Source organism: Homo sapiens, chromosome 1, assembly GCF_000001405.40.
Source record: "Homo sapiens chromosome 1, GRCh38.p14 Primary Assembly".
Classification (NCBI taxonomy): Eukaryota; Metazoa; Chordata; class Mammalia; order Primates; family Hominidae; genus Homo; species Homo sapiens.
In genome coordinates this window covers 167,217,048-167,233,247 of record NC_000001.11, presented here as the reverse complement: position 1 = coordinate 167,233,247, position 16,200 = coordinate 167,217,048, and the positions used below count along the sequence as shown (strand labels likewise).

Below are 16,200 nucleotides of genomic sequence, written 5' to 3'. Positions count from 1 at the left end.
GGAGGCTCATCTGAGCCCTGGAAGGTAGAAGCTGCAGTCAGCTGTGACTGCACCACTGCACTCCAGTCTGGGTGACAGAGCTAGACCCTACTTAAAAAAAAAAAAAAAATTAAAAAATAAAAATATTTAAACACAGAAAAAGTATAGTTAAAAACATGGTATAAAAGATTTAAAAATGGTATACCTGTAGAGGGCACTTACCTGAATGGGCTTGCAAGACTGGAAGTTGCTTTGGGTGAGTCAATGAATGACGAGTGAGCGAATATGAAGGCCTACAGCATTACTGTACACTACTATACACTTTAAAAACACCATATACTTAGGCTACACTAAATTTATAAGAGAAAAAGTCTGTGTTCAATAATAAATTAACTAGCTTACTGTAACTTTTTTTTTTTTTTTTGAGATGGAGTCTCACACTCTGTCACCCAGGCTGGAGTGCAGTGGCGCAATCTCAGCTCACTGCAACCTCCACTTCACGGGTTCAAGTGATTCTCCTGCCTCAGCCTCCCGAGTAGCTGGGATTATGGGCGTGTGCCACCACACCCAGCTAATTTTTGTATCTTTAGTAGAGATGGGGTTTCACCCTATTGGCCAGGCTGGTCTCGAACTCCTGACCTCAGGTGATCTGCCCACCTCGGCTTCCCAAAGTGCTGGGATTACAGGCATGAGCCATCACGCTGGGCCTACTGTAACTTTATAAGCTTTAAAATGTTAAAAACTTTTTGACTCTTGTAATAACAGTTTCAAACACACTGTACAGCTATACAAAAAATTTTTCTTTATATCCTTATTCTATAAGCTCTTATCTATTTAAATTTTTTAAATTTTTACCTTTTAAATGTTTTTGTTAACAACTAAGACACAAACACAGACATCAGCCTAGGCCCACACAGGGTCAGGATCATTACAATGTCACTAGGAGATAGGAATGTTTCAGTTCTGTTATAATCTTATGGGACTGCCATTGTATACTGGTCCATAGACTGAGAAGTCATTATGCGGTACGTGATTGTACAGCTGACCCTCGAACAAAATGGGTATGAACTGTGTGGGTCCACTTAAATCAGGTTTTTTCAATCACATGCAAATTAAAAATACAGAATTCACGGGATGCAAACAGCTCATAGTCACAGGGGCTCTGAGGCCCAGGGGCCAGGCACACTTTTCACATACTCGGGTTCCACAGGGCCTGCTGCAGGACTGAGGCATGTGCAGATTTTGATATTGGTGTGTGTGTGTTGGGGGAGGAGGGCACACGAGTAGGGAATCCTGGAACCAATCCCCTTGTGGTATGCCCCTGTGTATAATGAGGGATGTCTGAGATGTCTGCATAGTGTTCCCTTTGCTCAGAACATTTTCAATTCCACTTCTCACTCCCAGTTCTTGAACTGATTAATTCCTATTCATCTTTCACATCTCATTGTAAACATGATATCCTCAGAGAGCCCCTTCCCAAATCCTCTTGTCCAGATTAGCAGTCCCCACCTTATGCTCCTGGGGTACTTCAAATCTCTCGTATTCTACTCATTAAACTACAACCAGTATTATTTAACATATGATTTCCCCAACTGACCAATATACATTTTGAGAGGGCAGAGATGTTATCTTATTCATTACTCTACCACCAGTGCTCAGTACATTACAAGGAGCAGAAGCTCTATAAATATTTGTTGAATTAAATGAATGCAGAAAGACTGGCCATATTGGTTCATCATAATCTAGTTTTTATTCACACTGAGTACCACAATTATTGATAAGCTTACTACCTTTGTTCATTCGCATTCTAATAGGATGTTTCAAGTTTAAAGTCTAAATCCCATCTTCAGTACTACCTACTGCATACAATTTAGCTCTCCTACTAGGACAGGACCAAGCTTACCATGTTCTATATTTTTAATAAATATTCAGGTACCCAGATGAAAGCCGAACTGATAAAAATATATGTTATATTTACTGGTCTTCACCCAAAAGATGTTTCTGAATAATTCCAGTTTAAAAAGGAAAAAAAAAGTATGAAAACTATTCACCTAGCTCAGCCCATAATTTTATCAATAAGAATCCTATGGGTTGGAAAAATTTAGTGATTTATTCAGGATCAGAAAGCTATTATCGTTAATGCTAAAAGCAGAATAAGGATCCAAGTCTCCTAATTCTCAGTCTGTCTTTCCAGTATAGGGCCTTTCTGGTGCATTAACTGAAAACCATTATTCAAGGTATGCTAAGCAATAAATAATCTTGAAGTGCAACAAGTAATCATTTAATGTTATCAAATCACCTGTAGAGCTTTTTTAAAGTATGGATTTTCAGACCTCTACTGTATTAGAAGTTGGGCCTTCTTATGTTGAAAAAGTTCCATGGGTCACCCCATGGTGACAAAGATTGAGAACCACTAAGTCCATCAACCAAGCATTCATTATTTGTTAAATGTCTAGGCCTACTCTGTCCCTACCAGTATGTTCCTGCACTCAAGGCTCTTAGGACAAGATTTACTTACATAATCAATTAGAGAAGAAAATAGGACTGTGTATAATGAAGTGCTGAATTGGGTAACTGAACACAAATTAAGTGCTAATTTCAGAGAAAGTATGACAGGAGCTCAGATTTGACAGATGGCTATTTGTGGAGATAAAGAAATGGACAGACAGGTCCCTTAAGATAAATAAGGACAAAAGTTTTCAAGTCATGACCAGCAGAAGTCCTAAGGACCCTGTGAAAGTGCCTCAAAAGCTACTGTGGAAAGGAGGAGGAAAATGCTTTTCTTGCTCCAATATCCAATTTTAATCAGAACAGCTCCACTTTTGCCTTTAAAAAAGAACACCAAAGGCTTTTAAAAGTTTGAAATCCCTTATTTTACAAATGCAATTAAAAAAAAAATCCATGGTGAAGTAACTTGTCCTAAAGTTACTAAGCTAATTAGTGACAGAGAAGCCAGGTCTCTGAACCCCCCAGTACCTTTTTTCACTCTACCATACCATACACCATGGCCTTCCAATGGAGGAAAAAGTGTGAGTAAAGGTTCTCACACAACGTCCCAAACACACTGGCTTGACCAAAACACTGGGTACACATTCAGGTCATGTGTCTCAAACTGGGATTGGTGTTGCAAGGATGGTAATGGGAGAAAGGCTCAGGTAAGTCTCAGGATAAATTATAGCCATCCTCCCAAGATAGATCTTCAAATTTTAGGGAAATTTCTTTAAAAATTAAAATCTGATAATATGCTGTATTTGTGGTAGAAATGGACAATAAGGGAACTTCCTTGATGGAATTGTTGAGTCATGCTATTTAAGGAAGTAGTAAAGATAATAATGCATAGGCAAGGGTAGGGGCTAGATAACAGAATGCCCTGAAATCAAGGTAAGTTGTATTTGCTACAATGCAACACCTCCACTGTATAAAGTTTTCAGAAGAGTATTAGGAGTGTCCATTCCTCCTAAGATGCTGGCTGCACCAAAAAATGAACAACCTACAGTCAGGTGCCCCACAGAATCCATCGGCTGCTAAAGCTTCTGCTTCTCTACAGCAGCACAAGTAATAAAATTCCTGATTTTACTCCTGTGCTCATGTAAGAAAAACTATTACAGAGTTACTTTAAAAATGCTTCTGCTATCAATTTGATACTCCCCACAGCATCCCTCTAACACTGGTATTATCACCATCGTATTGTTGAAGGAAATAACCTTAGAAGACAGTGCCAAAGCCAAAATGAGATATCTAGAATTTACAACGTTCAGATTCAATACTCAGTCCACACGCACAGTGGCATGAGCATAAATTTCAACCCTAGTATTAATGTTTATCAAACATTTAATTCACTAAAAAATTTTCAATTTTCACAAGGAATCTACAACCCAATAAGACCCACCCAAACATGTCTCAAATGACATGTCAAAGTGAATTCACTGACTTACTCCCCAAATGGCTCCTTTTCCCAACATCCCTACATCTGCTTATGGTAATGCTCTTTTCTGGATAACCTAAACTCAAAACCTTGATAATCTCTTTGCATCTAATTAGCTGCTAAACTTTAAGGGCTCTGATCATGGCACTGTCCATAACAAAAAAAAATTAAAAAAAAAAAATTCAGTGACTTCCTACTGCCTAGCAAATAAAATCCAAACTCTTACACCAACACAAAGGATTCAGAGCTCTCCACAATAGAGCCCCAAAGTGCCTTAATACACAGCCTAAATAACAACTAAGCTGGAAGTCTTGCTATTACCCACACTTAATGCTTATAAAAACACAGGACCTTGAGAAAGTCACTTAATCTAAGTTTTATTTTACTCGACTATAAAATGGGTATAGTAACGCTTGCCTGAAAGGACTAACTGAGGTAATGAAAATGAGAATGTGGCTATAAATTTTAAAGTACTATAAAAATACAGACATTATCACTGTGCCATGGTTATGGTAATATTATTTATACCTGCCTTGCTCCAGAAAGGATGTAAGGTGGCCCACATAAAACAAGATAAAAAGAGTTTAAAGATGGAAGCAATACAAGAAATACAAAACAAATGCATGGACAAAAAATTGATCTACTAATCAGGCTAAGAAATGCAAACGTAATTGCCTATGCATGTGCTTCTCAGGTTAATAATCTGACCTAAATTTGACCAAATCAAACTGTAGTTTGATTTGAAAAGGAAACTAAGTCAATTAGACAATTCAGTGTCCATAAGACTAAAAACAAATAGTTTCTACTGTAAAGGCCAGGTAAGAATTTCTCCCAAACGTCCTTATTCCATGTAATGTAATTGGACAATATCCTCAACACCTTTATCACGACTTATCTATTTCATAAATTAGACTGGAAGTCTCTTGAGGTCAAGTAATTTTTAAATTATGTTTGTATCTCTAGTAGCACCTACAGTAATTAGTTAATAAACCAAATACCTCTATACACTGGTTTCTATGGATCTAATCTCTCCCTTCCTATTTCAAACCATCCTGCACACCACATTACTCCTAACACACCATTTTTATCACATCAGTCCCTATTTCAAAATCCTCCAACAGCTTTCCTGCAGATAGAACAAATGCTTCCTCATTCTTTACCTATACATCACAATGTTGAACACAATCTCCCCTTCAATGGCCTTCTCTGTATTCCCATTCCTCTAAATTCTTTTTGCCCTTTAAAGCTCGGTTTAAAAGTCTCGCCTTCTACATAAAGCCTTCTCTGACTGACAGCAATGGGGCAGGAGGAGAGACTGGGAGGTGGGAGAAAGTTAGAAGTCTTGTGTTCTTATCTGTTACTGAATAGTTAAGTGACTGTGAGCAAGTCACTAAACCATTGTGAAAATATTTCCTCATCTGTGAAGCAAAACCTTTAGCAAAGATTATATCTAAATTACCTTCCAGCTATAATATATTCTAGGATGCTCTGGCTCTTTCAAACTTGGACACACTCTGATCTATTCTCCAATCTTCATTATCTGTTACATATTTTAATATGTAATTATATACACTGTTTTTCAATTTTTCCTGCTTAAGTAAACATACCAACTCCTCCGCAGCAGTCATATTTCCTTGTTATTCCCAAAGACTACAGGCATAGGACCAGGTACATAGCAGATACCTTTTATAGACTAGGATGGTAACTACTTTAAAACATTAATTATAATATTGCTTGCTGCAGTATGAATCAGCCAAAAAAGGCTGTATTTTTCATTAAGCAGACCACTAAAATAAGTGTACTAAAACAAGAAAACACCTAAGTCACTTTTCCATATAAAAATATATTCCCTTTAAGGTATCAGTGCAACTCCATTAAGGTAATCATATGTTTAAGCACAAATGAGTCGTTTAACACACAGCATATTGTTCATTTTCCAGCCATTCCTGTTTATATCTTCTATTGCAAAGAGAAAGTTCAACAGAGGGGGGGAAACCTGCCATAATAATTATTATTATTGATTTAATTTCATATACCATTTCTATATTCCAACATAAAAAGCATAAAGTTACAAAGAATTATGAAATAAATAATGTGATAAACTGCACTTGCTATGACTTTCAATATTGAAGACTTAGTAAAGCTACTACAAACACTTAGCTTTGTGGAATGTGAACATTGGCTGTTAAAAAAAAGTTAGTATAATGTATCCTCTCCGGATAAATGTCCAGGAGTTCCAGCAGTTTAAAAGAAATCTGGGCCAGGTGTGGTAGCTCATGCCTGTAGTCCCAGCACTTGGGGAGGCCACAGTAGGACTGCTTAAGCCCAGGAGTTTTAGACTAGCCTAGGCAACATAGCAAGACCCCATCTCTTAAAAAAAATTAAAAATAAGAGAAAATAAATGAATAAAAGATAATCTGATAAATCTAGAGGTTTGCTGATTCTTCTTTTGCTCAATTACTAGTCCTGTCAGCAAATGTAGGCAACACTGAAATCTTGAGTGCTTGCTTAATTGGAAATAAATAAATAAATAAATAAAACCCAAAAACAAAAGAGCTCTATTAGTCACTGAGTATACAAAGATACCAATGCTCAAAAAATTCACACCCCATAGTAAAAACACACAGAACCCCATAACCACATGCACTGTATGCAAGGAGCATCTTCAAATCAGAACTTCTGAAACTCAAGACAATTCTCATATTCCAAATTCTAAACATACTGTAAACGGATCAAGTAAGTCAGGCAATAGCTCTACTCAGGCTATTTTTGTTTCCATTGTTATTACTGCTGAAACAGTTTATAAGAGCTCATCACCTGTTTAGAACACAGAAATACTTCGGTACAAAACAAACCAATTTATTCCTAAGAAGAATTAAAATCTACAGTTATTCAATTCTCTTTACTTATGAAATGTCAATAATGCACAAAAATGTCCAGCGAAAGATGCATAAGGAAACTGCTATTCTCTGTGAACCTTAATTATTATCCCTTTCAACCACTCAAAAGGATATTTACATCCTTTAAGCAACACAGTAAGAAGTAAGCAAAATGGTGACTCAAAGTTACCCCAAAAAAAGGAAAAGGAAAAAATTCATGCAGAAAGGGTACAGAAATTCAAAGCAGATATGTCACTGAATCAAATCAACAACTTTCAACTCTAACGCCCAAGAAATAGTAAGTACATTTGCTCAGGCATTTAGCATTTAAGGAGGGATCAGAAACAAGAACATGGATAACCAAAAGGGGGCATGTTTTGTTTGTGACTTGGTCTGTTCCCTAAACGCAAATTACCTGAATAGTTCTAAATTCAAATGCAATCACTTTCATTAGGAAAAACACATTCCTGCTTAAAATCAGGCTTCATAGCAAGTCTTTACTAATCACAAAAACTGTGTAATTAACACAATTATATAAAGGCAAATTAATGAGTCACACAACATTATTTTTAATGGTGCTTGAAAGACTAATATGCAAAGATTACAACTATGGGGTTTCAAAATTAAAAAACAAAACAAAAATAACCGATAACAACAAGGCAATCACTACTACATAATATTACAGTCTTCCAAGTACAAAGGAAACATTCATGAAAATGAGTGACCAACTTAAAAAACACAAATAAATTCAAGATGAAGCAATACAGATTCAAGAAGCAGGTCAAATATTTCAATTTTTAATAGAAAATACTTAAAGATAACATTCAAATTTCCACTTCTGTTATTTCAGAACCACCTGCCTAAGATATTCAAGGGTCTATTAAACATCTTTGGTGGCTTGAGAAGAGCAACGTAACATTTTGAGCCCTGAACTTATTGCAAAATCCACTAACCAGATGAATGGCAGATTGACAATTACTTCAAACTAGGCAGCAATGAAACATATTTTATTTACACTGCTTTATACTACCTATTGATGTAGAGAATAGTAAATTTAAAATATGGCAGAACACTACACCTGAATTCATTTGAACCTGAATAATAGCTACGGTTTGTTTTTTCCTTGTCTACTGGGATTTTTGACAATGACAAAATGAAAGGAATTACAAACTAATTTGAGGGAAGAGGTTAAAAATTGCTTTTACGGTAATGGTTTGGAAGCAGAACAGTCCTTTAGAAATCAAAAACAGTTGGTCAGCTGTCACATGAATTTTCAAGACCTTGATTCAAAAGTATCATTGTAATTAATAGGTGGGAGAGTTAAGAAAGTGACAACGGGCTGGGCATGGTGGCTCACGCCTGTAATCCAGCACTTTGGAAAGCCGAGGCGGGTGGATCCCTTGAGGTCAGGAGTTCGAGACCAGCCTGGCCAACACGGTGAAACCCCGCCTCTACAAAAAATACAAAAATTAGCCGGGCGTCATGGCGCATGCCTGTAGTCCCAGCTACTAAGGAGGCTGAGGCAGGAGAATCACTGGAACCCACGAGGCAGAGGTTGCAGTGAGCCGAGATCGCACCAACGCACTCCAGCCTGGGAGACAGAGCAAGACTCTGTCTGGAAAAAAAAAAAAAAAAAAAAGAAGACAGTGACAATGGATTTCCTAGAAATACGCAGGAAACTACTTGACAGATGCAAAAGGAGACAGGCAGGTTATAAACTCATGTGGGTTCAAAAGTAACCTAAAATACTCTATCAAAATTGGATCACAAATTCAGGTTAGAAATAAAGCAATTTTATCACATTCTCAGGGAATTTTAATCATCACCTTAAAATAAACTAATAATTAAAAATATGAGAAATGTCTTACAAGAAAATCTATTAATATGTCAAAAATTCTAAGTGCAATCACTGTTGCAATGGAACAATTTTAAAATCACTAATCAAAACAAAATGAACAAACTTGTCCAGACTAAGATAAATCCAAAAAGAATTCTGAATTTTTTTTAAAAAATCTGTTTTAAAAGCACATGCTTTCCTGTGAGTATTCTACCTTATTTTCAACATTATCATTTCCACCTTAAAGAATACACAGCCCTCATTCTCAACTCTGCTTTATTCACTGAAATGGATTCTAAGGCAAATGGTCTCTCCATTAGCCTAAGCCATGCTCTGATTAAGAAACACAGTTTCTTATAAAAGTCTGGGGGATCACAACAAACATTTATATGGGTCACTTCTATGACTATCTATCTAAAACCCAAATACTCCATTTGAGAATTTTGAGGAAATGAATTTTTACAATAGCATTAAAAGTGAACCAAAATATAAGGCCAGTTAACAACATCCATCCTTTTCTGTATTACAAAAACTGTAACAGCGAAATTTTGCTTGTAAAATCCAATGTACATTTTATCATTTTGTATAAAATATCTACGGCCTCAGTAGTGATTAAATTGCAGCTATAAAGGAAATTGACCCGAAATAAATGGTTTCCCTATGAGAAGGCTTCACTGCTACACTTCACCTCAGGACAATAAATCAAATTAACTGCACCTTGTCCTCTGTCCAATGACATCATCAGTTTGACCACATCTTGGGAATCGGGTGCAAAAACATATGCTATTTAAGGCATGAAATTATATTGCTGCTTTTTGTCCATCTGACCTCATACTTCAGGTCTCTGAAGCAGTCATTCACCTGAAGGTTCTCTTAAAAGCTACAGATTTTTTTTTTTCCTGCTGCATTCAGGGCCTGCCTACTGTGAGTGAAAGAAGAAAAATGGTGAGAACTGGTTATCTGAAATTAGCTTGCGTTTAATCCATCAAACCTAGAATTTTGTTACAAATTAAACTGAAGACCAAAGTCCCACAAAATACATAGCTAGCCACTCACCAAAATGTCTTAACATAATTTCAAAGGTTTAACACATTAGTGTTAAACCCCACTCCTCTAATACTTCCCTCGACTACGCAGCGGTAAACATCCACCAGTGACAGGCAACACTAGTCACACTCACACTCACACACACCCCTACACAAAATAAAAATGTTAAAAGAAAATTTTACCACAGGAAAGACCAAAAATCAAAATTACTGTTTCCTCTAAACAGTAAAAGTTAATCTGCCTCTCACAAGCCAACTGTCCTAAGTCTAGATAAAACATAACATCAATTCTGACAACTTAAAGAGGAGGGGCGGGTGTGCTGGGAGGAGAATAAGTTCCAAGATCAGGGTAAACGCAATGCCTATGTTTATTCTTCTCTTTTCACTCATTTAATCATGACACAAATACTCAAAGAAAACATAACCCCATTTTTTTGTTTTCAGTAGTGCTACAATTAAAATAAGCAAGTCTATGACAATGATAGCACAAAATTAACGTCAGCTCCATTTTAAATTAGAATGAAGATGTCAGAAAGGTAGCACCACACCAAGAAATTATGAAACTGTTGTTAATTGGAATTTCTAATATTTAGCTACTCCACAACTCCTAGAGGAAAAAAAAAGTGTCAGTTTTACAAATACTACAGACCTTTACAAAGCCTTAAAGTATTTAACATGGGGGTGGGGAGCAACCGGGGTACCCATCCCCAAAACAAAGTGATTTGGATTAAACCAAAATAGATTTCATAGGCTCTGAAAATAAAATACAGGACAGATTTTTCCCCCTAGGCCCAATACTACTGCAAAGTATAAGAAAGTCTTTTTAAGAGAAAACAAACCATCACAGAGTTGATACTTAGCTAGGACCTGTTTTAATGCTAGTAAAGCCCCAAGAGAGTTTGTTTTGCCCGCAGAGGAGGGGAAAGTGTGTGGAAGTTGGTGGAGGTAGTCATTTTGGTTATTAGTAAATAAATCAAGCAGCAGAGAACATGAGGCCTAGGCAACTGCTAGAGAAGCCAAGGCCCAGCTTCCCCCCTCTCTTCCCAGCACGGCCTGGGTTTGATCTCAGAGCCCTGCGGATTGCCAAGGAAAAAAAAAATCATATCGAACCACAAAAGCACATGGGGCGAATGTAAAATATAAACACGGCGTTGGGCTGTGAGTGGCTGTTATTAAAGGTCTGAATTACTAAACATGAGAGGCGGGGAAAGCCAGGCGGCCATTTCAATAATATAAACCTCCCCGAATTAGACATTATTCAAATGAGAAGAGGTTCAGCTAAGCAGAGAGTAAAGACGACCCAGCACACAGCGAGAAAACACCGCCACAGAAGAAGGGAGGGGGATCCCCGTCCCTCCCCACCGACTCCCAACAGGAGAGAGGAAATCGAGAATACGATCAACTTGTCAGGCCAGCCCATTCTGGGGCAGGAGGGCAGCCCTTTACATCCAAGTTCTCGGGAGGCCTCTGGGCGCTTCTGGGGCCTCGGAGCGAGAGGCCCCGGAGGGCCACCCGCCCCGTGCGTCCCGGTCAGGCGCAGGGGGTGGGGGGAACGGAGGGGGGGCAGCGGGGAGGGGCAAAGGGAGACGGAGGTCAGACCACGCCAGGCACCTCCAGCCCAACTCGCCCGCGAAGCCCCGGCCGACAACGCAAAGGGGCTGCCGACCGCCGGCCGGGGGCGCGCGGGCCGCCCCAGAGGACATCCCCTCGGAAGGAACTTGCCCCAAGGACTCCTTCCAATCCAGTCCACCCCCCAGGGGGGGCACGCAGACCCCTGCGCGGGTTCCCCACCCCCGCCGCCCCAGGCCACCTCGCAGCGCCCACGACCGCTCACCCCTACCCACCTAGAGAGCAGGCCTGGCTTGGGTCAGGCCACCACATTGGGGACCAGTGGGGCGAGGCCGAAGTGCCTGGGGCCGTGACCCCCGGGCTCAGCCCCGCGCGGGGCGCGGGCAGGGAGCTCTCCCCGCGCGCACCCCCGGTTGCCCTGAGGGCCGCCCCCCAAGGCGGGCAGCGCCCCCCCGCCCGGGCCCGCTCCCGGGGGAAGACGCGTGCGGGTGTCCGGCCGCCGGGGTCCGCTCCGGCCCCGCCGCCTCCCCGGCATTGTGCTCGCCGCCGCCTCCATCCCCCTTCACGCCCCCCACCCCGCGCCCGCCCGGCCCCGGCCGCCCGCCCGCGCCCTACTGCGCCCCGCCGGCCCAGCAGCTATGAATATGTAAAATGTCTTTATTGTCCTCTCCCTCTGCCCCGGCCCCGCCGCCCCGCCGCGGACCCGCTCGGGTTCGGGCACGGCGGCGAGGAGGCGGCAGCGGCGGCCGGCAGAGGAGGAGGGCCGGTGCCGACGGGCAGACGGCGAGCGGCGGCGGGGTGGGCCGGGTGCAGGAGGAGGGCAGTGGATCGCAGCCCCCTTTGCCCCTTGTCTTCCCCCTCCGCCTGGCCGCTCCGAGCCTCTTTCCCCCTCCGCTCAGCGCCCGGCGGGGGCTCAATGCTCCCCGGCCCCCCATCTCCCCGCCGTTAATTATAATAATCCTGAGTACTAATAAATTATGCTAAGTCGCGGGGGGGGGCAGCGGGAGCCGGGGTTGAGTATGAATATGAATATGTAAAATGCTGTAATGATTACCTGCTGCTGCTGCCGCCGCGGCTGAACTCTCATCTTGACTCGCTGCTCCTCCGTCCGCCATTTTGAATATTTTAACCAAAATCGCCCGGTCGATAAACCCTCCCTCGCTCTGGCTCCCCTCCCCCCTCCCGCCCTGCTTGCCTCCTCCCTCCTCTCCGCCCCCTCCCGCTCCTTCCTCTCCCCGGGCGCGCGCCAGGGGGCGCGCGAGGCCGGCTCTGTTCGCCCCGGCCCCCTCAGAAGAGCTCCACCCCCTTCCCGCGCTCTGCGCACGCGCCTTCGGGGCGCTGTGGCCCTTCGGTAGCTAAAGCAGCGCCCTCAATCAGCCAGGCACCCTGTGGCTTCATTTTTCGTCTCGGCTCTGCGCATGCGCGCCTTTCTCCTGCCGCCAGAAGTGTCGCCGGCGCATGCGCTCCCTCTAGCTCAGAACCAGATTATATAGTATCCCGGGCGCCTGTGTCTTCTTACACTTCTCCCTTTTCCTCCCGCCTTGCTTCCCTCCTGGCTTCGCTCCGGTCTCCCCCAGTGGCCTGTGGCATTGTAAAAGCACGGCAAGGAGCGCAGCGGCCAGAAACGTGGGGGCGCGTGGAAGGGCAGTGAGCGGCCCGCGTGCCCTGTGCTCCGCACTTTCTTCAGGGTTTCCGCGCAGTTGAAACATTGGCAACAATGGATAAGCCGCTCCTCGCTAGGTAATTTCCGGCCCTCTGGGCAGGTAGGGGCGGAAACGACCGCCACGGGAGCCGGGCATGAGGCACCTGCTGAGCCACACGCGGGCCTCCCGCTTTAAATTTGAATCCGAGCTAATCCCCGCCCCCGGCTCTGCTAGTGCAGGAGACCCGGCCCCGGCAAACGCGAGGGGGAGTGTCGTGTGATTGTTTTAATTAGCCCTAAATCTCTTCTGCTCTACTTGCTTCTAACGCCAGGCTGGCTTCCTCGGGAGCTAGGCGTCTTATTAAGTCGCTAATTTCCGCCCTACCCTTCCTTTCTGCCTTCACGCCCCTCTAACGCCGCTCCCCCCAATCGAAACAGACCCCATATTCTGAGGCTTCCCCCCGCGCCTTCTTCCCGCCTTGGAACACCTTTTAAAACCTAGCAGTAAGCTGATGACTAATAAAAATGTCGAAATCGTAACTTCATCGTGAATTTTATTTTGCTGTGTTTCTCAGAGTAAATATGGTATTGGGGAAAGGTTTCGCGTTGCACATATCTTTCTTGGTAACTAGACATAATGTTGCTGAGTTTTCTTTATCTTAAATGGCGAAATTCCCTGGACAAAGTCCCAGGTCTAATTATTTTACGAATTTTTAAAGCCCTATTTTTGTTTGTTTGTTTGTTTTTTAAGAATAGAAAGGTGTATTTCATGGTAAGCAAAGTTTAAAAAAAATCAGCTCTAGTTAATCTGTCTTGAGAGATATGACTGAAGTTTAAATTGGGTAGAACTGCTGGTTCTACAATTAAAAACAAAACTGATTTCCAAGTGAGTGCAATTATTTTAATGGGTAAAGTTTTAATCATCAGTCCTAGAATGCTCGTTGGACTCCTTTAACTGTGCAAGTACAGTTAAAGCTATTGTCAGTGACAGGCAACGATTTGGGGGTGGGATTGATTTGTTCGTGGTAATTAAGCCTTAGGGTGTGTGCATGACTGTTTGAACCAAATAATTAGACCGCCCTGTAATCTAATTATTTAGAGCCACGCCAACCAGCACACTTAAGGAAATGAAATATTTAACTAGTTAATCTGGAAATATGGCCTAAGTTATTTTCACCAGCATTACTGTAAGGGAAGTCTCAGAATTGACAACCTTATTGGAAATAGTTAAGTACATGCCCCTGCTCTGGGGACCACAAATTTGAAATCATCTCCATTAAGAAAAAGAGCTCAAATACCCTCATTTAATTTCCTGTCTTCTATTTAATCCTAGTTTTGCTCTTTGGTTCAAAAAGTATATTAATATGACCTTCGGAAAGTCATTGAAGCTAGTGTATGTGTTATGCATTCTTTACTGTTTCACTTCTATAAAAGGAAATTTTCATGGAAAGGATTTTTATTTAAGGAAGGATAGTTCTGTGAGAACAAAAATAGCTTAAAATAGACTGTATCAAAGTTTCATTTTCCTCCTAATGAGTTATTTATGTTTCCAGCTGTCCCCAGTGCCTAGCACAATGCCTGGGCATAGTAGGTGTTCATATTTGTTGAAGAAAAATAGTGAATATACAGTTATGTATGTTAGGATTATTTGTAAAATTAATGTCATTTATTCAATAAAAAATTGTAAACATCTGCATTCTCATGAACTTACTAGGTGCTAAAGATAGGAAAATGTGTAAGACACTACTTTAACCTCAGCAAACTCACATATATCACTTTAAAAAAGAAAAAAAAAAACCCTTACAATACCCTGGGAGGTAGAAACTCTTTATCCCAGTTATCTAGGATGGGAAGATTGAGGCATAGAGATGTCAAGTAACTTGCCCAGTGTCACACCACTATTAAGTGTTAGAGCTAAAATTCAAACACAGGCAAGGGACCGTACTCTTAACCACTACACTAAGTTATTTGCTTTGGGTCAGGCAAAATCTTGGAGGTACATGTATTAGACTGTTCGTGCATTGCTATAAAGAAATACCTGACACTTGGTAACTTACAAGAAAAGAGGTTTAATTGACTCATGGGTCTGTAGGCTATACAGGAAGCATAGCACTGGGAAGGACTATGTTTCTGGGGAAGACTCTGGAAGCTTACAGTCGTGGTGAAGGCCAAGCAGGAGCTTGTACATCACACAGGAGAACAGGAGCAAGAGAAAGGGTAGGGGGGCAGGTGCCACACACTTTTACAAGAACTCACTGTCATGAGGACAGCACCAAGGCGATGGTGCTAAACCATTCATGAGAAATCTACCCCAATGATCCAGACACCTCTGTATTAGTCTGTTCTTCCACTGCTATAAAGAAATACCTGAGATGGGGTAATTTACAAAGAGGTGTAATTAGCTCACAGTTCCACAAGCTGTGAGATACACACTTAACCAGATCTCATGAGAACTCACTGTCACCAGAACAGCAAGGGGGAAATCCACCCCCATGATCCAATCACCTCCCTCCAGGCCCCACAACCAAAATTGGGGATTATAATTTGACATGAGATTTGGTGGGGTCACAGATTAAACCATATGGGTACATATAGTTCAGTATAGGAAGGGAACAACACATTAACAAACAATGTCCTTGTATATAATGTCATAATAAAAATGTAGGCCAGGTGCAGTAGTTGCACCTAAAATCCTACCACTTTGGAAGACTGAGGCAGGAGGATTGCTTGACACCAGGAGTTCAAGACCAACCTGGGCAACACAGTCCCTGTCTCTACAAAAAGCCAAAAGTTAAGGTGGGTGTGGTGGCACACACCTATGGTCCCAGCTCCTTAGCTCCTTGGGAGGCTGAGGTGAGGGATGAGGACTGCTTGAGGGCAGGAGTTCGAGGCTGCAGTGAGCTATGATGGTGCCACTGCACTCCTACCTGGGTGACAGAGTGAGACTCTGTCTCAAAAAAATGATTTTAATAAATAAATACAAATAAAAAGGTATATGTGGATGAGAACTTAACTTCACTTAGAAACAAATAGCAACTATTATAATTGCCAAAAAGTAGAAACAATTCAAATGTTTTTCATATGAATGAATAAAACATTCATACCATGGAATACTACTCAGCAATTGAAAAGAATGAACTACTATCATATACAACAACTTCAATGAATCTCAAAGGCATTATGCTGACTGAAAGAGGCCAGTCTCAAAAGGTTATATACCATGTACTATATGGTTCCATCTGTATGACATTAATGAGATAACAAAACTATAGTGATGGAAAACAGATCAGTGTTTGCCAGGAGATAGTTACAGGGGAAGATGT

The 16,200-nt window shown here is 41.6% G+C and overlaps 1 protein-coding gene and 1 long non-coding RNA gene across 10 annotated transcripts in view, besides 6 other annotated features; one reads left to right on the top strand and one right to left on the bottom strand.

Moving 5' to 3' along the window:
* Window positions 1-12,363, bottom strand: part of POU2F1 (POU class 2 homeobox 1) — a 206,461-nt gene extending 194,098 nt beyond the window's left edge. For 7 of the 9 annotated variants that reach the window (NR_037163.2, XM_011509655.2, XM_011509653.2 and 4 more), the window contains exon 1: window positions 12,290-12,362. Coding sequence is in view for 6 of the 9 variants with exons in the window: in XM_011509655.2 (XP_011507957.1) it covers window positions 12,290-12,350 (61 nt within the window). In the remaining 3 variants the exon portion in view is untranslated. Of the gene's footprint in view, window positions 1-12,289 lie in introns of all 9 variants that reach the window. The other 2 variants (NM_001365848.1, NM_001365849.1) reach the window with 1 other exon arrangement.
* Window positions 10,960-11,139: an enhancer, noted in NCBI's record as "active region_2036". NCBI's record gives its function as "activates an Ori minimal core promoter by ATAC-STARR-seq in GM12878 lymphoblastoid cells {active_cell/tissue: GM12878}" and the evidence as "EXISTENCE:reporter gene assay evidence [ECO:0000049][PMID:35858748]".
* Window positions 11,200-11,379: a silencer, noted in NCBI's record as "silent region_1522". NCBI's record gives its function as "represses an Ori minimal core promoter by ATAC-STARR-seq in GM12878 lymphoblastoid cells {active_cell/tissue: GM12878}" and the evidence as "EXISTENCE:reporter gene assay evidence [ECO:0000049][PMID:35858748]".
* Window positions 11,390-11,669: a silencer, noted in NCBI's record as "silent region_1521". NCBI's record gives its function as "represses an Ori minimal core promoter by ATAC-STARR-seq in GM12878 lymphoblastoid cells {active_cell/tissue: GM12878}" and the evidence as "EXISTENCE:reporter gene assay evidence [ECO:0000049][PMID:35858748]".
* Window positions 11,890-12,039: a silencer, noted in NCBI's record as "silent region_1520". NCBI's record gives its function as "represses an Ori minimal core promoter by ATAC-STARR-seq in GM12878 lymphoblastoid cells {active_cell/tissue: GM12878}" and the evidence as "EXISTENCE:reporter gene assay evidence [ECO:0000049][PMID:35858748]".
* Window positions 12,390-12,489: a silencer, noted in NCBI's record as "silent region_1519". NCBI's record gives its function as "represses an Ori minimal core promoter by ATAC-STARR-seq in GM12878 lymphoblastoid cells {active_cell/tissue: GM12878}" and the evidence as "EXISTENCE:reporter gene assay evidence [ECO:0000049][PMID:35858748]".
* Window positions 12,670-12,779: an enhancer, noted in NCBI's record as "active region_2035". NCBI's record gives its function as "activates an Ori minimal core promoter by ATAC-STARR-seq in GM12878 lymphoblastoid cells {active_cell/tissue: GM12878}" and the evidence as "EXISTENCE:reporter gene assay evidence [ECO:0000049][PMID:35858748]".
* Window positions 12,712-13,417, top strand: POU2F1-DT (POU2F1 divergent transcript). Its single transcript, NR_185889.1, has one exon. It is a non-coding gene; the product is annotated as a POU2F1 divergent transcript (long non-coding RNA).
* Window positions 13,418-16,200: the final 2,783 nt, after the last annotated feature.